Source organism: Homo sapiens, chromosome 3, assembly GCF_000001405.40.
Source record: "Homo sapiens chromosome 3, GRCh38.p14 Primary Assembly".
In the NCBI taxonomy this organism is placed as follows: domain Eukaryota; kingdom Metazoa; phylum Chordata; class Mammalia; order Primates; family Hominidae; genus Homo; species Homo sapiens.
The window spans coordinates 6729273-6754539 of record NC_000003.12 but is presented as its reverse complement, the minus strand read 5'-3'; the positions used below and the strand labels follow the sequence as shown (position 1 = coordinate 6754539).

The window sequence follows — 25267 nt, the reverse complement described above, 5'->3', positions numbered from 1 at the left end:
CCTCTTTTCTTATAATATATTTACACAGATGCAGTCATGTATCACTTAATGATGGGGATACATTTTGAGAAATGCATTGTTAGGTGATTTTTGTCATTGTGCAAACATCATAGAGTGTGCTTATACAGACCTAGATGGTATAGCTTGTTATACACCTAGGCTGTATGGGATAGGCTATTGTTCACAGGTTGCAAACTTGTATAGCATGCTACTGTAAAAATACTGTAGTTAATTGTAACACAATGGTAAGGATTTGTGTATCTAAGCACATATAAATATAGAAAAAGTACGATAAAAATACAATATGATACAGTATTATGTTATGGGACCACTGTTGTATATGTGGCCCAGAGTTGACAAAAACATGATTATGCTGTGCATGCCTATATTGTGCATCCTTTTCAAATATTGTTCACTTTGAATTAGGTGAGCCCTTTCTGGACCAGCTATTTTCTGGGCTTTATGATGGAGAGAGGACAGAGCTGCAAAATGTCTCTCTGCTTCAGAGCAGAGTTCTTCACGACACAGGGGGGTGTATGTGTGTGGGAGGGATTGATTTAGCCTTCTGTTTATCCCTAACTTTTAGAGACTTATGGCTGCAGATCATCTAACAACTCTGAATCTTTCTTCTAGACCTTGACTCACAGATGACTTACTCCTGGCAAAAATGTCATGTGTCACCTAATTCAATTCCCTGCACCCCTCCAGTCCCTAGAGTTCTGTGGTACCAAACCAGGAAGCTCTGTACTAGCTGTGTGTACTGATCTTTTGTAACAGAAAAGGTGTGGCCCCTTGGCATGCTCCTGAGCTTTGGAGTTTGGTCCTCGCCAGGTTCTGCTGCCCTTGGCTGCTGCAGTGTTTCTCTTTGGTACCTTCCTGCACACCAGGCAGATCCTTTCTTCACGTAGCACCCCTTCTTCACCATTTGTGATTTTTGTGATTGAGGATTGTATCTGTTAGTTTGTTTTTTAGTCTCTGTTTGTTTTCTGATCAGTTGTAGATAGATAAGGATGGTGGTATCTGTAGTCTGCCATTGCATACGTGATGGTATTTATGCTTCTATCCAATATCCAGCACATTTAGTGCAAGCCTACTCTAAGCCTTCTACTGCTTTAGCTGCTGGTAGTACAGCGGCATCAAGAAACAAAAACAACAATAAAAACAGCAACAAGCAAAACAGACTCACATCTTTGTCCTCATTTAATAAGAATGAATAATTAACATAAATAAGGTAGTAATTTAATTACATCTTGCCCTCTGCCCTTCAAGTGTTTGACTTGGCCTGCATAAAATATAATATCAGTTAAAAAAATATTGCAAACTAAGGTTAGGCCCCCAAATCTACTGTAATTACCTCTGAGTTAAAAGGCCAGCCAGAATTCAGATTGTCTGTTGAACTCCTTGGCTGGAAATTCCGTTTACCTGCTTCACTAAGTATTGCTATTTTCCTTCTTCAGGGGTTATGTGTGACACAGGCACTGGGAATGAGCGTAAATGGCCCTGGTAATTCAACTTTAATAACCTATTGGTGCCTTTCTCCCTTTACAAAACACTCGTAGTGATTTTTGTTTGCTTGTTTGCTTTTGTTTATGAAAGCAGAACTGCGGTGATGACTCTTCAAATTCAATCCCTTTCTACTGAAATTTGAAGAAAAATTGGAAATATTTTATGACAGAGAATTATGCCATTTGGAAGTATACCCTGGAGAGTAGAAGATGATAGGAAATTTTCCCCCAATCAATGGCATGAGATTCAAAATGGTATATAAATCGACTTGGGGTAATTAAAACCTTTTTCCTATAAATTTTTGTCATCATCATGGAAGGTTAATAATAATGATGATGACATTTACTATTTTTAAATTTGTTTTATCTATTTTTTATTTTTAAATAATGTATTATTATGCTCGAGTGCTTATGCTGTGCCTGGACATCATACTACGTGCTGTATAAGCTGTATAAACAGTGCTTCATCTACCCTGGCAATTAAAATAATTAGCCTCATTTTATCTATTTTTTTTTCCTTTTTTAGTAGACACATAACTGCACGTATTTATGGGGTACACAGTGATATTCTGATACATGTATACAACGTATCATGATCAAATCTATTTAGTCTCATTTTAGAGATAAGAAAGTCAAGGCTTAGAGGAAATAAAAAGATCCTTGAAAATTATCCAGTTACCAATGGCAGAACTGGAGTTCAAATCCAGGTCTGTTAAATACCCAGTCCAACACCCCCACCTGTCATGTTGTACCATCTTGGTTCTAGTTCCAGAGGTTCTTCAGAACTTTGGAAGAAATGAAAATACTTTGACCCCACTTTAGGATTTCTGACTCAGTAGGCTGGGATGGAGCCTAGGAATTTGGTGTGCTCTAGATAATTCTTTTCTGTACCAAGTTTCAGAACCATTATTTTAGAAAAAAGAAATCTCTTTATTATAATGAAAATTATAACTTAAAAAGTTTTGTTTCCACTTATAACTTTACATATTATTAAAATGTGAAAAAATAGAAAATCAGAAAAAAATTTAAAAATGAATTCTTTTGATCCTACCATCCAAAAATAACTATTTTTATATTTCCATATTTTTCTTCTTTTTTATGTATTATGTATATAATTTCTTTTTGGTGTGTTTTCTCTTTTGGGTCATCTGCAATAGTGTTCTACATAAAATGTTGTATCATGATTTTTATACTTAGTGTTCTATAATAAAAAATTTTAACATTATTATATAGGTTTTTATAAAGCTCACATTTGTCAAGATACTATAGTTGCAAAAAAACATGAGTCCAACTTATACTGGCTTTTGCAAAATGAGAGTGTATTGGTTAATATAATACACCAGAGAAAGAACACAGTAGAGCTGGATTCAGAGACAAAACACCATCCAACCTGTTTCCGTTCCTGTCTCTGTCTTGTTGTTTCTGTCTTATCACTGTTCTCTTTTTTCCCTGCTTCTGGCTGTCTTTTGGATTTAGCCTCTCAGGCTGTCAGTTCTCATGATTCCCATGTGGCTATAACCGTAGGTTCCCATCTAAAGAACAAGGCAGAAATTGCACAGGGCAGAAAGAAATTTACTGTGCTTATTTCAGAATGAAAAGCCCTTTGGATCTTTGTCATGGGTTGTGTGGTCAGCCCCTGGACCAACTGGCATAGTCAACGAAGCTGAAGTTTCATGACTAGTATAACACAGGCCCACTCTTGAAGCCGGGAGATGATATGCTACAATTGTCACCTCCCATAACCACCAACCTTGAGAAGAATCTACTGTTTAATTTTTTTTACATGAAAAAGATGTAATTATATGTATTTTTCCAGAAGTAAAATCACTAAGCCAAAGTGTTGACAAGGTTTAAGGATCTATTATGTCTTTCCTAATTGTAAAAAATATTTTGCCAGTGTACACTGCTACAAACACTGTTTGAAGGCACTGTTTTTCCCATACACCTGTCATGATTAACTTCTTTTATGATTGCTTAAAGTAAATCAAATGGGTATATATACTGTAAAAGTAAATCTTAGTAATTACAGCAGAGACAATGTTTAGGAGACTATGTGGTTTAGCTATTAGACCACTCCCATGTGTATTCTACCTGAGGATGTTTACATACATGAATTTTTTCCTGAAATGTTATGGTATAGTAGTTATTTATTAGCTACACTGTGACATCTGGCTTGAGTAAACTTCAACTGCATTATAGAAAATTGTTTCTAAATTTGAAGGAAAATTGTTGCACATCTCCTAGTGTGTAATACGGTACACTATGATTTTATGTGGAATAATATATGTGACAGTGTAGAGCCTAGGTGAATAGATTATACACAGCAAAAACAAGGAAGTGTGTTCAGAAAAAGAGAGAAGAAAAGAATAAAAGGATAATAAATTCAAATAAATTGAAAATATCAGCAGGTACTCATGCTGTCAAAAGCAAATAAGAAAATATAATTTTCCTATTGTGTTATTGAATTGGTTAGAGGCTTGTGTGTTACCTAGCTCTAAACCATTGCTTATAGGAAATAATACAATGGAAATAACCCATACTTAAATCAAAATCTGTATAGTAATAAGCAATAAAAAGAATTAGGGCTGTAAGAAATTTTGAGACTGCAGGAAATTCAAGGTGGACCCTGTAAAATTTGTGGTCATCAAATAAGCGACTTCAAAAATACAGAGAAATAGTGGTAATGTGACAAAAGTGTCAATTTCAAAAAGGTTTCACTCTCCAAATATTAGCAATGCCAAAAATAAATGAAATAAGTCAAAGCTATAAAAACTTCCATGATACTACACAAAAGGGGAAAACAGTATTAATTGGAACTCATACATAATTTTTTTTTTTTTAAGATGGAGTTTTGCTCTTTTTGCCCAGGCTGGAGTGCAGTGGGGTGATCTTGGCTCACTGCAACCTCTGCCTCCCAGGTTCAAGCAATTGTCCTGCCTCAGCCTCCCGAATAGCTGGGATTACAGGCCCCCGCCACCAGGCATGGCTAATTTTTTTTTGTGTTTTTAGTAGAGACGGGGTTTCTCCATGTTGGTCAGGCTGGTCTCGAACTCCTGACCTCAGGTGATCTGCCTGCCTCGGCCTCCAAAAGTGCTGGGATTACAGGTGTGAGCCACCGCACTCGGCCTCATACATAAGGTTTTAATAATATTCACACACACATAAATTACAATAAAATTTAATGAGTTTTACAACCAAGATTTCTGGCCAAAATTTAAGTTGGCAATCATAGATGGTAAAAAGAAATTCTAAGTGATGTAATAAAGGTGTTATTAAATTATAACCCCTGATATTTCAAATAAAAATGTATTTCTGTTTGTAATACATTCACAAATGGAGCCATCTAAAACAGAAAAAAACACGGATAACTATCAATGAGTAGGAAATGAAACGTCAAAATTAGTAGTGACATTGTGAGCGCATACTATATTACTTATTCAGAGGAGCTTTAAACAACTTCTATGAGAGCTTTCTTTTTTAAACTACTAACAGCAAAAACAAAACCATTAATTGAATGCCATCTTTTTATTTTATTTTATTTTTGAAATGGAGTCTCGCTCTGTCGCCCAGGCTGGAGTGCAGTGGCGCGATCTCGGCTCACTGCAAGCTCCGCCCCCCGGGTTCACGCCATTCTCCTGCCTCAGCCTCCCGAGTAGCTGGGACTACAGGCGCCTGCCACCGTGCCCAGCTAATTTTTGGTATTTTTAGTAGAGACGGGGTTTCACCTTGTTAGCCAGCATGGTCTCGATCTCCTGACCTAGTGATCCGCCCGACTTGGCCTCCCAAAGTGGTGGGATTACAGGCGTGAGCCACAGCGCCTGGCCGAATGTTATCATGTTTTAACATACAGCGAAGATACAATTATCCCAGATATATTAATAAAGAAATTAATGTTCAGTGACTTGTCCATGACTGCATAGCCAATAAGAATTATGATGTGAAATTAATTCTGAGACTTATTCTAGGTATCACAATATGTGATCTTTTATGCATCAGGTCCATTATTAAAAGAAGCAATTTGATACTGCTGGAAAAATCAAATCAATAAATGGATTTGAAATCTAAAAAAATGTAATAGGGAAATAAGCTTTCAATATGAATACACACACAAACACACCCAGGTTGCTTCAGGATATTGCTTCAGTGCTGCTAATTTCTAAAACATTTGGAATAGTTATTTAGAATTCGGATAAAGGTCATGCTAGACCACATTACTCAGTAAAAGCAGTAAACATGGGGAATGACTTCAGGAGTCCCATATCATGCTGTGGCTACAGCCTCTGCTACTCAAGCTGCAAAGGCTAGCTGATGTTCCGAGCCTGGCTGCCTCCACTAAAAAAAGGAGGAGGAGAAGGAGAAGGGGAAGAAAAAGAAGAGAAGGAAGATGAAGAGAAAGAAGAAGATGAAGAAAGAAGAAGATGAAGAAAGAAAAAGAAAAACAAAGCTCATGCTAAACACTTGAAGTAGTACATTTTACATTAATGCTAAATAAAATATTAAAAGTATATCCACAAAATTTAGGAGAAAGTAAAAAGGTTAAAACAATACCAAGTCTAAAAACAGTATATGAAAATATTTCTTGATCAGAGAAATATTCTGTAAGAGATTCTATAGAATCTCTTAATCTGTATAAAATAAAATTAAAACATCTTATTTGCAATATATAAATTTTATAAAATAGAATATTACTATAATTTAAAATTAAACTATTCCAAAATTAAAAAATAGATTGCACAAATTATTAATAATGTTGAGACTTAGAAATCTCTGCTTATAAATTGTCAGTGTGATAGGACACTTTAAATTCTGGTAATCTTTACTTTGTATACTATGGTCCTCTTCAAATTGTTACCACGAAACTCAAGGTATCGAACAAATGAGTACCAGCTACTCATTTTTATTTTGCCTTTATTAGGTCAAATAAAATATACATTTTAAAGTATCTTGACTTTCTTGTCCAGGTGATGGGAAAAGAAAAGAAGAGCATTGTTCTAGTAGACCACTGGACAAACTTCTACTCAAGACTAAAGTTTCTGCATCATACTTTTTCCTATTCTCTTAAAACATTGTTATTCCTTAACCATGTCAAAGTGGTTTCAGTAGAGTGGGGAAGGCCAAAATTGTCAGGAGGGGATTGAGAAGCAAAGGAGGGGTGAGGTGAGGAAATAGAGAAAGCAGGTACAGACATTTTCAAAAACTTTATTGTAAACAAAAGAATGAAATAAGATAATAGTTGAAAGGGGTTGTGGGGCCTAGCATGGAATTTAATTTTAAATACGTGAACTGTTTTTCATGTTCATTAGATTAAAAGGCATAATTGGTTGTACAAGAATGAGACACCAGGAAAGTCCGTGAATGAGCAAAATGGAATAGGAGTACTATATTTAATGTTGCCCTTACCTAGTTGCAAGGAGAAATCCATCATCATTATAGGAGGGTGGACAGGTGCCCTCCTCAGGGACAGTGAGGCAGAAGTGGAGGAAGTGACGCAGAAGATGAAGTAAGATAAGATGACTATTTCTCTACTGACGTGAGTCAAAGAAGGACAAGAGAGAAGATATAAATCTGTTATCTCTGAAAGCAGGAAGCAATCAGAAAAATGTAAGAAGCCAGCTAACAACCCAGTTCAGGTCTGAGGGTGTAAATTTAAATGGCATCCACCAGCCACATTGGCTCCTCAACTGTAGACGCAGAGTAGGTAGACGTGTAGATGTAGTGAGGGTTGATATCTTTTTGGCCAAACTCAACAGAGGTGGTGCAAAGGAATGGCGGGTATGTGCAAACAAATGCTTATTCTGATAGGCCTTGAAATCTGTGCTGGATCAGAAGGGAACAACATGTGAGGGCTGACTGTGGAAGCCTCTGATAACATGCTGTGGAGGGGAGATTTCTGTCACCAGGAACGGGAGAAGGTGTGGAATTACATTCCCTTAACCAAAAACAGAGGGAGGAACAGGAAACATGGTTTTGCTGCAGTGAGAAGGAAGAAGGAAACCCATTTACTTGCAGGTCTTAGGCTGTGAAAGAAGAAGAAGGAAAAATAGCCACCAATGAAAAAGGCTACAGAGGAGGTGGCTGGACCCAGTGGATGGCAGGCTTCAGGTAGAGTACGAGAGGTTAACGCAACAGGAGAGTTTGCCAGTGATGGACTGTGAATCCTTGCAGGTGCAGCGGAGCCACTGGGGAGTCCCCATGGGGTGGGAGATTGGATCTAAAAGGTAGTATTAACAGCTTACAACATATAACATTGCTGAGGGAATTTGCGTCAACAATTGTGCGTACTTTCATGTCAATTTCACTTGATGGGCTACACGCAGTTAAGAATGATGCTTTCAAGACTTCTCGGAAAACTCTAGGTTCACAGATGATGCCACTTTACTATTGATGTGGCTAAGGTACAAAGAAGGACCTGCCTGTGCCAGCTGCCTTAAATGGACTGAGAATTTCATGTTGCTACTACCCATCTGTAGCCTACACGACGACTGTTTAAAAGTCCCAGATTCCTCTGCTCTCTGACACAGATGGTTGGTCGACACAACATGATTCTCTCTAGGGAAATGGAGGTTCCGTTCTGATCGGATGTGTGAGAAAAAATAATAAAATAAACCCAGAGATCTCATAGGGAGATGAAATCAATATTAAACAGAAAGCAAATGTACAACATAATGAATCTTTGGTGGTCACAACCTTTTGTTTTCTGCCTTTTATCTTTGTTGTTAGCCAAGATTTAAGTTTATTCTAGTGAAAAGAGTCACTCTGAATTTTGGTAAAATCTCTTCTCGTTAAAAAAAGACGAAGAAAAAAATTATTTTAACCAAAATGTTATAAAAAAGTATATAAAATTTTCCCCTAATTCCACCAGCTATTGTACACCCTTACCGTCATTATGGGGTATTTTTTTCCCTCTTTTTTTCTCTGCACAAAAATACATGAAGCCACGTTTGCAAAAATTATGTAAGTAAAAACATTATGGCAGTTAGGGAGATCTGATCTAGCCAACCCCCTCCTTGCCTTTAGCTTTCAAACTGCCTTAATTATTCTTGGACTTAGGTCAAGCTAACTTTGGAAGACGTTTAGGTTACAGGCTAAATGATAATAGCCCTTCCCCCAAAATCAACCATCTTTGTAAAGCTAATGAGAGACCAGGGTAGCGGGAGGAGAGGAGCCTCAATTTGGTAAAATGTAGACTGGTCACAAGATATGCACCTTCCTCAGTTACTCCTGCAGACAACATCACTAATGTAGATTGGCCTTTTGAGATATCTTTTCAGGGTTTTCGTATGTCTGACACGGATGGATCCACTAGACCCACCAACTGGTGGTTTCACTGCTCCTATAACTTCACCCGGAAGCAACTCAGCACAAAAGGACAGCTTAGACCCCTTATCATTTCATTTCCACTCCAACCAGTCAGCAGCAAGCACCCATTTCCTAGCCACCCCACCATTACCTCCAAACTGCCTTTGAAAAGCCTCTACCCTACAAGCCTTCAATGAGATTGATTTAACTGTCTCCCGCATGGCATGGCTAGCCTCATATCAATTAAACTCTTTATTTACTGCAGTGCTGTGGTTTTTATTTGTGCAGTGGGCAGGAATAATCTGTCAGGAGGTTACATACATATATATATTTTAAATTGGTATCATAAATGTAAACAAATTTTTTTTTTTTTTTTTTGAGACTGAGTCTTGTTCTGCCACCCAGGCTGGAGTGCGGTGGTGCAATCTGGGTTCACAGCAACCTCGGTCTCCCAGGTTCAAGTGATCCTCCTGCCTCAGCCTCCCGAGTAGCTGGGACTACAGGCACATGCTGCCATGCCCGGCTAATTTTTGTATTTTCAGAGATGAGATTTCACCATTTTTGCCAGGCTGGTCTTGAACTCCTGACCTCAAGTGATCCACCCGCCTTAGCCTCCCACAGTGCTGGGGTTACAGGCATGAGCCATCACTTTCGGCCTAAAAATTTTTAATAGTTTTACTTTTTTTTTTAAGTTGTATATTTTTACTTGAATTTTGTGTACCTTTTTCCAGATTATTACCTATCATCAAATTCATAATTTTTAAAGACTGCAGAGCTTACTATTGGAAATCCATATTTTATCAGTTTGCTGTCATTAGATATTTTCATTGTTTCTAGTGTATTTGCTATATAAGTAAGACTGCAATAATCCTACTTTTTAATACATCTTTGGGTGTTTCTCTAATTATTCCTAGAAATAGAGTCTTGAGGTCAAAAAGGAAAAGGCCTATTGTGAATATGATGGTTTTTCCTCAAGGTTTGTCTCCTTTTAAAGTTCACCACTGTTTTAAAGCCGGTGACTCTTATGTCTCCTTATGTTAGTTAAAAACAGCACCTTCACTGGCAATTATTTCCACAAGGGCCTTAAAAACATACCTAAAAATATATCCATTAAATCGATAAATAGTCTCATTTTATCAGTTCCTCACTTCAGGGGAACCACTCTTCTGACCCAGAGTAATTTAGAGACCAATAAGGAAGCTAGTCCTATAAAAAAACTGGAAAGAATTAATTCAAACAAAAGTTGAGTTTCTATTGTGTTTGAGGAACAGGACCCCAGTTGACGTCAAAACATGATTTCCTTTGGCACCTGATATTATTTTCCCCTTTGACAACAAAGATTTTGCTTTTAGGACACAAATAAGATATTCCAATTTTCTGTTCAAATAACGGTTTACTTGGTATTAGATAAACTGGGATCGGTTTCAAAAGCAAATTAATGACAAACCTCAATTTGAGGCAAGTCAAAGCTACAAATGCATTATGGAGTTCATTTCAAAAAATACACAAAACTAAAATGAAATAGGCTCTAAAATTTGAGAACCCTTAGGCACAGTAAATCTTAGTTATAGCAGAAAATGAAACATTCTGTGACAAGATTGGGTCTGATAAGATGTAATAAAAACATGAGACATGATACATAAGGGCAGGAGGATTGATATAAAATGTGAAATGATCACAAAAATAGCATAGTCCTAGTCCGCCAAAGTATTTGGTAGTGACAGGAGAATTAAATAGCAAGTAAAGCTGAATAGTAAATGAGGGTGAATGTGCAATACATCATCCCTAAATCTATCTAGGTATTCCTAAAATGCATGTCACATTTTTCATGGAAATAACTAATGTCTAAGACCAAGGTTAAATTTTTCAAAAATGAGAGCATAAACATCGTGGAATTTCAACAATGGTATCATGTACTTATGATGAGAAGGAGATGAGGAGAAGGTATGGTTATTTGGCAGCAGTAAAATATGGTTAAGAAACCAGCAGAAATGTACTCTTATAAAACAGTGTGAGACTTACTTTTATGCCTAACCTTGAAATTAGGACGGCAAAACCCACAGGTGCTGAAATGGCCAAAAGCTTACTGGCATTGCACCATAGAGCAGCGTGACATTTATCCCATAGGCCCCTCTGATTAATTCACGTGACCCTTTAACAAGTAAAGGGCCACTTTTTACAATTTTTGCAATGCATTGTTTTCGCAGTACAAAGTTCCTTAGAATGAGGAATAATAGTTTTGCACTTCCTCATAGCGGGATTTCAAGTCTGTCTTTGATCCTTACTAGTGTACGATCTGGAACAATTTCCAAACTCTTCTGAGCCTCAGTTTCTTCATCTGTGAAACAGAGATTAATCTTACGAATGTTAACCAACTAAAATATGGAAAGTTATAAGCACAATATCTGTTATTCAGTAACTTTCAAAGAACTTCACTTCCTTTTCTGCCACTCCTTAACCTCTCCTGGCTGCAGAAATGTGAATTGATCTTGATTAGTCAGATACTGTCTTTATTTGTGGTTAACATCAGTAGCTATGAGAAAGGATGCAAAAAGGGGAGAAGGGGACTAAAGATGAAAGGATAAGGCATAGAAGTAGCTTAATGTTTCCTCTTAGACATTTTACAGCACCTGGCTTTCATCTTATTCCTCATCTTTTCTCTTTTTTTTTTTTTTTTGCCAGAAGGAAGACACTGTGATATTAACATTCAGAATTCAGGAGGACAATAGTCTTGAAAACCAGGCTGTTGTCCTTCTAAGAGACTAGCTAAATTATTATTTCTTTTCTTTTAACTGACGCAGCTGGACTCATTGTGAAATCTCCTCATTGTATTGAGGAGATCAAGGCTTCCAAGTTGCACAGATACAGCAGGCATCATCTACATTGTATGCAATGGTTTTCTCCGGGGGTTGCCATTCATGTAATATACAATTTAAATAATATTCAGGGAGATATTTCTGTTCCCCATTAAAGATGGTTGAAATCAAGTAGAAGGAGCATAAGATGGGAGGGAAGTCAAAAGAAAACAAATAATTTTATCTGCCCACTAGGGTGGTACAAAGAAGAGAAGACCAGGGAAGAGAAGCTCATGAAGGAAACAAACATGGCTGTCTGGTTTGGAAAAGCACATTTGATAGTTTATGAAGTCACAGAGGAGAGTGACTCTTGCCTCGCCACCCACTTATTCATCTGGAAGGAGGCTTCCATGTAGGTTGCACTCACACTCACAGGGAGGGCAGTCACATGAAAGCAGAGGTCAGGCAGAGGTTTAGTTTCCTGGGTTGCCCTTGGGTCTGATGAGGCAAAGGCATATCCAAAGCAGCTAAACACTTGGCTGGCACATTGGGCAGAGGGGCTTCCCTTAGGGGTTCTGCTCCAAGGGCTACGAGCTAAATGAGATTCCCAGTCAGACAATCAGAGGGTGGATAGCACCAGCAAGAGCTCAAATAAAGCTGAGAAAGTGCAAACGTATTACATGGCCTTGACTACCCCCAGACAAAAGATGCTGACCATCACTGGGCATAGTGGCTCAAACCTGTAATCCCAGCACTTTGGTAGGCCAAAGCAGGAGGATTGCTTGAGCCCAGGAGTTCAAGACCAGACTGGGGAAACATAGTGAGAACTTGCTTGAGAAAAAAAAAAAAAAAAAAAAAGATGCTGACCACAGTCCTAAATGCCAGCAGGGCTAACCACCCCAAGGTGGTCAAAGGACATTGTTTTGGAGGTCAGGGTAAGGCAGGAATCGCAAGAAGTATAAACACCTACTCCCCTTCTACCCAGATGCCATCTTTAGCGGATAAGCAGAGATGTTTGAGGTAGAGCAATCTCTGAGAGAGAGCAGGAAATTATATTTAAATAATCTAAACCATTTTTAAAAGTCCTTGACTAGTTATTGGTTTAAGTTTTATTTTTTTGACCACCTATCCCCAAGTTATGTGAATAACCTGAAAATGGGGTTGTAGGAGGCAGATAGTTACAGGCAATATTTAAAAGCTACATTTTTCCCTCCTGTACCTAAGATGAGTGAGAATTATAAGAGAGACCCTGCTACCTACAAGGCATGCACAATTTACATTTGTATGATTACTAGAGTTTACAAAACATATCCAAATGTATTTTTGCTTTTAGAAGGAAATTATCAAGGTAGAAAATATAGATGTTGTCAAGAGATCTTCATAAAGCAATCTTGCATGAGGTTAGTTTAACAGTCTTGAAATAGCAGAATAATGACTGAGATCTTGCTCTACTACATGTGGAAACGTGCCATGCAGCTATAGCAATTATAGCAGTGTAGTTCTGAAGTGAAAATGATGGATCAGTGAAACAGTAGAGCCCCAAAATGCACATACATAAATAGATGGATATAAATAGTTAGGTATCCATACAGTCATCACATCTATCTATCTATCTATTCATCTATTTATATTCATATATGAATATCCTTATGTGAAAAAGTTACATTTCAAAATCAACAGGTAGTGGATGGACCATTCAGTGGAGTGGATAGCTACAATAGGTTATCAATTTGTGGTGAAAAACTATGTTTGATTCCTACCTGGCATATCTTCCCTAACATATATGTATTCATTTGACACACATTTATTCCAAATAAATACATGACCAGAAGGTAGAAAAAACATCTTAAAATATTAGATGAAAATAAACATTAATCTGGAGAATGGGTACCTCTCCAGGAATAAAATAAAAATCAGAAGTAATAAAGAGATTAAATACTGGAATTGTTTAATGAAAAAAAGTTAAATTCGTTTATGGCAAGTAACACAATAAACAACTTAAAATTAAAGACAGACTGGAGAATTATTTATAAATACAAAAGCTCATATACCTGGTCATATAGAATGTTGGCTGGACTATATATTATTACAACTTGTACTAATATAGGGTAATTTGGTAGTAACTACTAACATTTTGATAGAGGATGGATAAGCTGCACATACGCATTTATACCAAGACATTTTGAGAGAGAAGCAGGGATATTGGGGAGGGGGTATTTGTGAGAAACTAAGGATTTACATTCAGTAGAGGCTAATATTTTCTAAATGTGCTCAGTTATGTATTGATTTAAACATTTCTTACTAATCATTAGGTGCCTTTCTAGGATTTTAGCACATGGAAGAAATGTCCCTACCCATGCATACAGAAACGCATAAGAACAGGAAGTGACGTATTGTTTATCAGGAAAAACAGTATTCATGTATTATTTACAAAAATTGAGGCTGATCTCCAAGCTCTACTGTGGAAAGAGTTCATCAAGTTCCTAGACTGAAGAAAGCTAATTGTAAGAAATACATATGTAGTATGCACAAGTTTCATTATAAATAAGAGTAAAAACGTGCATTGTATATGTACATCCTTGTGAGTGTCTGTGTGTATGTGTGTGTAAATGTGCTTTTGTGTGTATAAAATCTAGAACAATCTTCACCAGTCTTGTAAAGTATTTATGTTTGGGAAATGAAAATGGAGAGGAGAAATTTCTGCTCTAACCCTGACTTTGTTTCTTTCATTGTTTTTGTTCTTTGAAAAGTAATTTACAATGTGCAAGCACTTGACATTTTAAAAAATATTAAATAACTAAACCACCTGTGTACAACAAAGCAGAATGTAATTCTGTATGTTAATTAGAATCATAATTTTAATTAGAAAAAATTAGCATATATACTCAAAGATGTAGTCTTGATTGGAGGTGGGGCTAGCGGTAGTTTTTGGAAAAATTTACCAAGGTATAAATAGAAACTACAGATAATGTAATTTACCTTATTTTTGTGCATTTTCTAAACTCAACAATTAATATAAGCTACTTTTATTATCCAGAAAAAGTCATTAAAATGACAAAAATCTAGGACACCTGTGCATTTTGAAATATCTCATTTTGTATCAAATACTTTGGCAGTTCTGGATTGATAACCAAGTTTATATTTCAGCAAACAGGTAAGAAGGTGTCCGTCTTGGGTTGATTCCCTAGAAGCAGACTGAAATTGGGATTTATTACAGAAACTGTTTATTCCAGAAGTGCCCCCAAAAGGAACCAGTAAGACACAGGGAAGCAGAAAAGAGAAAAGTGGAAGAAACTCAATAAGTGTGTGGTTTCAGGTGATGTCTTCCCAGAGGTTTCTTGTCTATTCCTGCAGGGGACCTCAAGAGCATAACTTAATCTCAGAGTTGTTCACCTCCGTGCAACGAAGTTGGGCTTTCAAGTATTCTTTGACTAAGAGCCTGTGCTGGAGAAAGGGGCCACGCTGGGCAGGAAGGAAACCCCTAAGAACTCTGCAGCAGGTGGTAAAGGGATTCCAGCAGTTGAGGCAGCCTTCCTAAGAGAAATGCAGGTGCAACAGAAAAACAAAAGCAAACACAAGCCAGGAGAAGGATGCAGCCAAGGAGAAAAGGGGATTGGAGGAGATTTAACAGAGTATCAACAGGATCCACTGCAGAAGAGGTTTTATTTTATTTCCAAATATATCTTCATTTGTTTAAAATATTGAATTGAACAAATATCTTTTCCAGTTCTAACATGGAGAAAAAAAAATCAAAAATTTCAAATGAACAAAATTTCAGAGTCAGCCGTTGTAATACAGGGAAGTTCTTAGGAATTCCCAGAAAAGCATAACAATTTAACAGCTTAAATTTAGTGAGATCAAAGTTCAAAGTACTCAATATTTTACAGACTTAGATGTTCCTGTTCTGAAATCAAAACAGTGATTCAGCTCCTGTGTCTATTTTTCTTCAGGATTTATTTTCTTTTTCAGTGTTCAATGTTCTTTTGTACACTCTGGGAAACTCAGTAGAGAAAAAGTATACTTTTGTTTTAGAAAGATAATTTCAGTTATTTACTGCTAAATTATCCTAAAGCATCCCTGGACACAAGGAGAATAAGTGCTTTCAAGATGATCTAACACACAACTTAAACTATAGTGCAAAGGAAACAAGAAAAACAAGCTGTATTCAAAGATACAGATTAAGTACTCAGAGACCCTACTGGTTGGGATGTCACACAAACATGACTCCATTTTCCCCTACAGCATTCCTGTATTCTTATATAATTGTTTTTTTGTAAACTTGCACAAGTTACTTAAGCTCTCTTAATTTTCATTTCCCCCATTGGTTTCCTGGTCAAGTTTTAACACACAGTAGGTTCTCAGGAAATACTTGTTCAAAGGCCGGGTGTGGTGGCTCATGCTTGTAATCCCAGCACTTTGGGAGGCTGAGGTGGGTGAATCACTTGAAGTCAGGAGTTCAAGACCTGCCTGGCAAAACCCTGTCTCTACCAAAAATACAAAAATCAGCCAGGCATGGTGCCTGTAGTGACAGCTACTTGGGAGCCTGAGACAGGAGAAAGGCTTGAACCCAGGAGGCGGAGTTTGCAGTGAACCAAAATTGCACCACTGCACTCCAGCCTGGGCGACAGAGCAAGACTTCGTCTCAAAAATAAATAAATAAATAAATACTTGTTCAATATTCGGATCAATATACAATATGGAGTATTAAAGATAAGTATATTCCGGATACTCTATATGTATGGAACCACATGAGCTTAAGTGCAGAGGTCCAAATAAGAATGTCCGTCTTATTCTCTGTACTTAACTCGTGTGGTACCATACATCTAGAGTGCCCAGGATATACTCATCTTTTTCTCTAGCCATCTATATTATTTTTCTATTGATACATAATAAATTACCACACACGTAGTGGCTTACGACAACACACATTTATCATCTCACAGTTTTCATGGATCAGAAGTCCAGATATGGCTTAGCTGAGTCCTTTGATCAAGGTCTCACAAGGCTACAATCAAGGTGTCAGCTGGGTGGCGCTTCTTTTTGGAGCTCAGGGTCCTATTCCAAGCTCACATGATGGTTGGCAGAATTCAGTTACTTGCAGCTGCAGAGCTGAGGTTCTGCTTTCTTGCTGGTTGTTAGCTGGGAGCCACTCTTAGCTCCTGCAGGTTCCCACAGTCCCCTATCATGTGGCTCCTTTGTAGCCCACCTCACAGCATAGCAGCTCACATCTTCAGGGCCAGCAAGGCAGGGTCTGTCATCTCATCCTTGTCTGCCCACAGTCATACATCTATATCTATGTCTACATTTATATCTGTATCTATATATACATCTATATCATCTATATATATCTATACTATATCTATATATAACTTATACCTCAAGGGAGTGACATTCCACCGTTTTTGCCATATTCTATGGGTTAGAAGCAAGTCTCAGGTTCTGTTCATGCTCAAGGAATAGGGATCATCAACAAGTATGACTCAACTGGGACTCCCCTTATGGTATATTCGCCACACTGTACAAGTCCTATTGACTTCAAAGTCAAGCTCAAGTTACAGTCTTCTCCTTTGATCTCCTAGCACTAGACACTAAACAGAGCAGAACTAAGAATTTATCCAGGGTGGTGTTTTTTTTTAAATCATTTCTCATGTCCTGTAACACACACACATAGGTGCAGGACTAAATGCTGAATCCCTACGGCTTGAGATCCCCTGAGGCTGGGATCTTGCAGCTATCTGCAATCTTTATCTGTCTTTTGACACACTCTCCAAATCCTCAACAAATTATGCTAAATTTTCTGCACAGACACTTAGAATCCTCACTTCTTCCCCATTTATGGGTCTTCACTCTATTTCAAACTTCAAATATATCTTGTGTCTGAAAAAAAACTTTTGGCTGTGCTTCATGCTTCTTGTCTTTGCTAACTCCACAAACCCCTACACATGCTACTCTCTGAAACTGTCACCACAGTGATTATGCGATCCCCAAGACACAGGCCAGATGTCTTCCTTACTTGAAGCACTTACCGGCACTTATATATCTCATCTTTCAACAAGTACATATATAAAGGCTGAGAATAATTTGTGTATTATTTTTTGTTTAGGTAACAAATTAAAAAATTAAAATATCATATCCCAAAATGGAAATAAAACAGATAGAATGCCGAGTATATATTAAATAAGGCAAGCTATTTATGATGAGGTAAGGAGAGTATATAAAGCTTTATTTTTAAGATATAAAAACAATACTAGTTTGAAACTACTTTGTTTTATTTTTAGTTTTTCTGAAATTAATATATGTAAAAAAATTCATAATTTTGTAGATAAGAGTGTGGAGCACAAAACTATGCAACAAATGGGCGTTACCTACTCTCAACTGTGATGGTTTCCAAGGCCGCCTGTGTAGTTTGATACAACGGTGAAAGAAAAATAAATCTTGGGCCCCCCAAATCCCTCAGCTAAAGGGAAAAGTCAAGCTGGGAACTGCTTAGGGAAAACCAGCCTCCCATTTTGTTCAGAATCAAAATAATTGATTTTGTTCATTTTGCTCACTCTAATTGCCTCCTTTGGAAAGGCTAATCAGAAACTCAAAAGAATGCAGCCATTTGTCTCTTATCTACCTATGACCTGGAAGCCCCCTCCTCGTTTGAAGTTGTCTCGCCTTTCCAGATGGAACCAATGTTCATCTTACATATGTCGGTTGATGTCTCATGTCTCTCTAAAATGTATAAAGCAAAGCTGTGCTCTGACCACCTTGAGCACATGTCCTCAGGACCTCCCGAGGCCGTGTCACAGGCACACATCCTCAACCTTGGCAAAATAAACTTTCTAAAATAATCGAGACCTGTCTCAGATATTCAGGGTTTACACAACTCAAATCAGTCCTTGACACTAGAGAAGTTCATCTCAAATATTGATGTTCTGAAGTACCATAATTAGAAGAATTGAAAATTAAATTATATCCAAGGGCAAAAAACCTTCATCACAACAGGACCAGTGATGGCCAAGACCTATACAATTTGACACAGTTAATGGAAGCCTATTATTTTCTTCCATCTGCTTCAGAGGCATTAAGATTTAGTTGCAGTTTTTAAATATGCAAAAAAATCTACATGTTGTTAACTTCACAGATTTGAAAAATATGGAGGCATTTATTCATTTATTAATCTCACAGCAAGAGGCTATCTTGGTGCATTCAAGAATGTTGGGAAGTCCAACAGGGAAGTTTCGTATTCCGGTGATTCTCATTCTCTCTCTTGGGGACTGGAGTTTATTCAAAGCTAAGAAAGATGAAGAGGTAAATTGTTAACAAATTAGTATGCCTTGCCCAAAGAACTAAACAGGAATGAAATAATTGATTCTCAGCCTTTCCTTGGTTTCAGCAATATTTCTTTGTTAGCATCCATTGTTAAGAATTAAAAACTACTAATTTTTTTCATAGTGTCATAGTGTTTTAGTATATGGTTATAGCAGCATTTCCTTTTTCTTTTTTCTTTCCTTCTTTCTTTTCTTTTCTTTTTTCTTTTTTTTTTTTTTTGACAGAGTCTTGCTCCGTCGCCCAGGCTGGAGTGCAACGGCATAATTTCTGTTCACCGCAACCTCCGCCTCCCGGATTCAAGCGATTCTCATGCCTCAGCTTCCCTAGGAGCTGGGATTACAGGCAGGCGTCACCACACCCAGCTAATTTTTGTATTTTTAGTAGAGACAGGGTTTCGCCATGTTGGCCAGGCTGGTCTCGAACTCCTGACCTCAGGTGATCCACCCGCCTTGGCCTGCCAAAGTGCTGGGATTACAGGCATGAGCCACCGCGCCCGGCCTATAGCAGCTTTTCTTTTCAATGGTCAAAGAGAAATCATTTTGTAAACATGCTACAAAACTGCAGCTAACTCTTTCCGTACAGTTGAAAACATTCTTTGATCAGGAAATATATACATGCACTTCAAAACTGTGGCAACTGATTGTATATTCTAATATTTGTTTGTGTATTTAATCTGTTTTGTTTTGTTCGACACAACACAAACAGAGTTGATACTATACTGCTGTGTCTTAAAAGGTACATTCTTGGACCAATATTGTCCTTTAATTAAATTTTACTGTGTTTTAAATGAAGTGGCCAAAATAGACACTTCCTTTGACTGGACCATTTACGCAGTGCCCAATTCAATTTATTTTCTAAGTTCCAATATCCAAGCCTCAAAAATCATGAGCAATCATTCTATCCAACAGAACTGATTCCATAAATAAAATTGTGAAACGTCAAACAAACAAGAGTCGCGGCATCCTTGCACATTACCTTTTACCTATAGATATCATCATGCTTGCCCCAGCCAAGCAGATTTTAGAGGAAACTGCTCTGCTCATCTTCCTCATGTCGGGAGCTGGGGGTTGTGGGGGCATGTTTTGTACCTTGTAATGCAGCCACTTCCTGGTCTTGGCTACAGAGCTGTGGTGAACATGTAACAAAGGATGAACTATCTACAGAGTAGCAGTGTCTAAAAATAAGAAGTTGGCTGATCCGATCTTCTGAAGAATTTGAACTCAAAAACACAAAGAAATTACAACAATTAATAGTAAGAAAAGAGCACAAGGGAAGAAGAGGGAACAGAAAATACCCCTGGCCAGAAAAGGAAATTAAAAAACAATGAAAAAATATGGGGCAGCCTGATAAGTAGGTAGTGTCAAAGAGATACGGGTACTCCCTTGACAGAATCCATGTGTGTCTGGAGGGATAAAAGCTGGTTCTTAGAATTGTTGCAGCTTCTGAAGTTTCCCATAGATGGGAATAATGTTTTACTTGAAAATTTCTTGAATATCTGTTTCTAACTATATGACAACAAAAGCAACAAACGGGTACTTTGATACTAATACCCTGGTATGATATTCAAATTATGAAATAATCAGTACAACATAGGCAGTGATCAACCTGAATAGATGCTGAATATAAATATCCACTACTTGCACACCCAGTGGCCTAGCTGAAACATTCACTGTACTAGCACCATGCAATGTACGCAACACTAATTCAGAGGTGGTAACATTACGCAAAGTCATTCGGCACTGACCTTTGCCTTTGCTTATCAGGACAAAAACAGATGCTCATAAAGTTTGAAAGTAGCAACAGGATTCTAATCTGGATCTCTTTGACTTTATTATTAATTAATTAATTAATTAATTAATTTTTAGAGACAGGGTCTTGCTCTGTCACCCAGGCTAGAGTGCAGTGGTGCCATCATAACCCATTGCAGCCTGGACCTTCTTGGCTCAAGCAACACTCCCACCTCAGCCTTCTGAGTAGCTGGGACTACAGTATATGCTACCATGGTCAGCTACTTTTAAAAATTTTTGTAGAGATGGGGTCTCACTTTGTTGCCCAGGCTGGTCTTAAACTCCTTGTCTCAAACGATCTTCCCGTTTTGGCCTCCCAAAGGGATTGCAGGTGTGAGCCACGGCACCTGGCCCTCTTTGACTTTAAAGCCATATTAATTCTAATTGAAGATTAGATTATACAAACAGAAGTGACTGACATTTAGTTAATGCTTAATATATACAAGACACTTGATTTAGTCTTCACCATAATAATACCCTATTTGCTTGGTATTATTATGGTGCCCATTATAGAGAAAAATAAATGAAAGTTTGAACAATTTGCTCAAGATCACACAACTGATATAATTCGGAGTCAAGTTGTAACAACAATGTAACTCTCGAGCCACTGTATTTACTGTACTGCCCCTCACTCTAAGAGCATACTTGCTATGTGGTCTTCAAAAATCTGACAGAAAGTAGGCAATGGTGATAGTTCAATAATCACAGCAGTAGACATGAAGGGCTTCCAGGAAAGGCTTTGTTTGTATCATTTGAAAGCTCTTCTGAGATCAAGTCAATATTAACAGCCAGGTGAAGACTGAACCCAGCGTGCCATTGTACTTGTTGCAGGCTGGGGCTTCAGGTTGGCAGGACATAATGTTAAGACATAATGTGACATAATGATGGCTCAGATAGCTGCCCCAAGCAGTCTCAGAGACTGAGAGTCACTAGTGACTTTAAATTGCCTAGAACATTTGAATCATGACTCTAGAGAGAGCAATAAGCAGTGCAGAGCACAGTGAAAAGAGACTGCTCGAGGGGATAGCCAACAATCAACAAAAGGGCTTCTTTGGCTTTCCCATAATAAAAAACTACATTTTTCCAGCAAGTCGTTTCTATGCTTTTATGAATTAATGCAGAGAATCTCTAAGAGTCAAGACAAAGATTATTAGAAGATAAATATCTGTGATAAACCAGATAATGTCTTCAGTATTGATGTAGTATATAGGGACTTACTCAGATAAATTAAATGTGTAACAATGCTCCTGTGTGTAATATTATTTTTGAAACTTTTAAGGAAAAGACCAGAATTGCATGTTCCTTTCATTTTAACATTCCATGATCACTGAGCATATTTACCTGACAAGTATCAGATGAGCTCCTATCATCTCTGCAGGAATGTGCTGAGCTCCTGGGACAATACAGAAGTAGTAATCTACACCATGCCTGCATCAAGAAGCCTAAATTTGATCCACTGTTACTACTCAGAGCTGTTTTATTAAAGCTCATGAACAGAATTCATTCATTCATTTATTCTTTCAACAGTTTGTGAGTCTCTCCTTTGTTCCACAGCCGTGCTAGATACTAAAATGTAAAGACAAAAGAACTGATTAGTATAATATATAGAAGTGCCAATGAAAGATTCAAAATGTCTACAACGAGATCCCCACTTTCCTTGGCTGACAAAGATGAGAATTTAGCCAAATTAAGGCCTTTTGGAAATAAGGATATTCTGCCTCTTGTGGCAAGTATAATGGTCCACCTGGGTAATGCAACGGCTAGACTGCAGACACTATATGCCCATTACCTTTAGAGCCATGACTCTCCTATGGGGTTAGTATACCTAGACTGATTAGGTTTGATGAGGGCAGTACAAACAATGCCACCATTTGTCAGAGTTAGTGGCTGAACTATCAGTGATTGTTGTTTAACACACTCCAAGCCGTGAGAAAGGATTAGTCTGTCAATGACTGCATTAATTCGGTTTACAGTATTCGTTTGGTCAGGTTAAGTTTGTTTATTGAATACAGGTTAGGTTTGTTTATAGACTAATGTTCTAATCTTCGTGCTGGCATAGAAATAGTCTCATAATCTTGTTTGTCATTGCTAATTTGACTCCATTTCTCCTTGTGCTATTTTAATCAAGCAGATATCCCTACTGTCTCATTGAATATTTAGCAGTGACAGATGAAATTTTCCATGCACTTTTCCCTTCACCTGGAACAGCAATCTATTTCTCATTCCTTAATCATAATTCCTCCCTATTCTTGAAGCTTAATTCTATTTTTTTCTAGCAGGACTGTAGATGTTATCAATCACATGTTGTTTGAAATCTTATTGCATTTTTGTTTGTATAAAGCATTTTAGACTGTCCATATAGAAATATGCATGTTGTATTACAACTTTTTTCCATATGCACATGCTATAATACAACTTTTTCCCTGTGTTTATGTCTTTATTTCATAGCTAACTCACTTGCAAGTTACCAGAGAGCATGGAGTAAATCCTTTATTTCTCATGTCCTCATTGTGCCTAAGACTGCGTTTCTGTACACACATTAAAAAAACAGGAAATCAATGGTTCCCAATGGTGATGTGTGAACTCTTCAGGATCTGGAGGAACATTATTAAATTGCTCCATTAGCTTTCTCTTGTTTGGGTTGAAAATAAAAATTGTGATGCCATTTCTACCTAGTTCATTCTTCCCAAGACTAAACTAAGTCATGGTTTTCTTACTAATTAGGCAATAATGAGGATCTTAAAAATATTGTAAGAGAAAAATGTCTTAGCAATGGAATAGGCAATCAGACTAGCAATCATGACAGTGCCTGAGGAAGAAAGGAAAGAAATTTTAAGGTGGGTAATTTTTGTAAATCCATATCTCTTTTTACTTTGGCCTAGAGGCAAATATTCTCTACTAATTTAACTTTTGAAAAAACTCATTAGATTATGTAGACGAAAGACCAGATGAGGAGAAATAAGTAAATGTTAGAGAAAATTCTGCCATGTAATATTTATAGGACTTCAGCAGAGCCATTTTTAACATTTACAAAATGACAGAATTGTACTATATATCTCTATGTTTATTTTCTGTTCTGAAATTTTATGCTGAAGTAGGTCCAACTTTTAACTCTTATACAGTTGTCCCTTTGTATCCATGGGGAATTGGTTCCAGGATCTCCAAAGTTATGAAAATCCAAGGATGCTCAAGTCCCTGATATAAAATGGATATAAACCTATATCCAAAGGTTATATGCAAATACTATGCAAAGGTTAAATAATCTTTTCTATACACTTTATCTCTAGATTGCTTATAACACCTAATATGGTTTGGATTTGTCCTCTCACTCAAATCTCATATTGAAATTTAATCCCCAATGCTGGAGGCGGGACCTGGTGGGAGGTGATTAGATCATGGGGGCAGATTACCCTCAGTTGCTGTTCTCATGATAGTGAGTGAATTTTCATGAGATCTGGTTGTTTGAAAGTGTGTGGCCCCTCCCCTCTCTCTTCCTCCTGTTCCACCCATGTAAGGCATGCTTGCTTCCCATTCACCTTCCACCATGATTTTAAGTTTCCTGAGGCCTCCCCAGCCATGTTTCCTGTACAGCCTGCATAATGGTGAGCCAATTAAACCTCTTTTCTTCATAAACTACCCAGTCTCAGGCATTTCTTTATAGCAGTGTGAGAACAGATTAATACAATACCTAATACAATATAAATGCTATGTAAATAGCTATACTGTATTTTATTTGTATTATTTTTCATTGTTGTAATGTTATTTTTATTGTTTTTTTTCTAATATTTTTTGATCCCCAACTGGCTGAATCCACAAAGGCAGAACCAATGGATGAAGAGGGCTGGCTATAAATCTATGTCAATGTGGGAAAAATTGGCTGAAAATCATATGTGTTTACACGGATCTTCTTTTGCATTTTTTTTTTATTTTTTGGTAAGTGCACTTAACAGGAAATCCATCCTCTTGACAATTTTTTTAAGTTCACAATACAGCATTGTCAACTATAGGCACAATGTTGTGCAGTGGATCGCTAGAATTTATTCATCCTGCATAACTGAAACTACACACCCATCGAACTGCAACCTCCCATTTCTCCCGTCCCCAGGCCGTGGTAATCCTCCTTCTATTGTCTGTTTCTATGAGTTTGACTATTTTAGATACCTTATATAATTGAAATCATGCAATATTTATCTTTGTGTGCCTGGCTTATTTTCTTAGCAAAGTGTCCTTCAGGTTCATGCATGTTGCTGCATATGACAGGATTTCCTTGTTTTTAAGGTTGAATAATATTCCATTGTATGTACATACAACATTCTCTTTATTCATTCATCTGTCAATGGTCATTTAGGTTGTTTTTACATTTTGGCTATTGTGAATAATGCTTCAATAAATATGGGGATTGTAGATACCTCTTCGAGATCCTGATTTCACTCTCTTTGGTTATGTATCCAAAAGTTGGATTGTTAGATCTTATGGTAATTCTATTGTTCAGTTTTTTTAGGAACCTCCATAGCATTTTCCATAGTGGCGATAACATTTTACATTCCCAACAACTGTTTAAAAG

At 37.3% G+C, this 25267-nt stretch overlaps 2 long non-coding RNA genes across 21 annotated transcripts in view; one reads left to right on the top strand and one right to left on the bottom strand.

Moving 5' to 3' along the window:
- The window catches only part of GRM7-AS3 (GRM7 antisense RNA 3), a 173092-nt gene that overhangs the window by 50910 nt on the left and 96915 nt on the right, over nt 1-25267 (top strand). The window contains exons 3-4 of one of the 2 annotated variants that reach the window (NR_110125.1): nt 17703-17800; nt 23152-23368. The exons of the other annotated variant lie outside the window; for it this stretch is intronic. This is a non-coding gene — a long non-coding RNA (GRM7 antisense RNA 3). Of the gene's footprint in view, nt 1-17702; nt 17801-23151; nt 23369-25267 lie in introns of those variants that run through there. 2 annotated transcript variants of the gene reach the window in all.
- Nucleotides 17801-25267, bottom strand: part of LOC105376944 (uncharacterized) — a 246298-nt gene continuing 238831 nt past the window's right edge. For all 19 annotated transcript variants that reach the window (NR_188695.1, NR_188694.1, NR_188693.1 and 16 more), the window contains 2 exons: nt 22045-22269; nt 17801-18878 (listed from right to left, as the gene is read on the bottom strand). This is a non-coding gene — a long non-coding RNA (uncharacterized LOC105376944). The remainder of the gene's footprint in view (nt 18879-22044; nt 22270-25267) is intronic.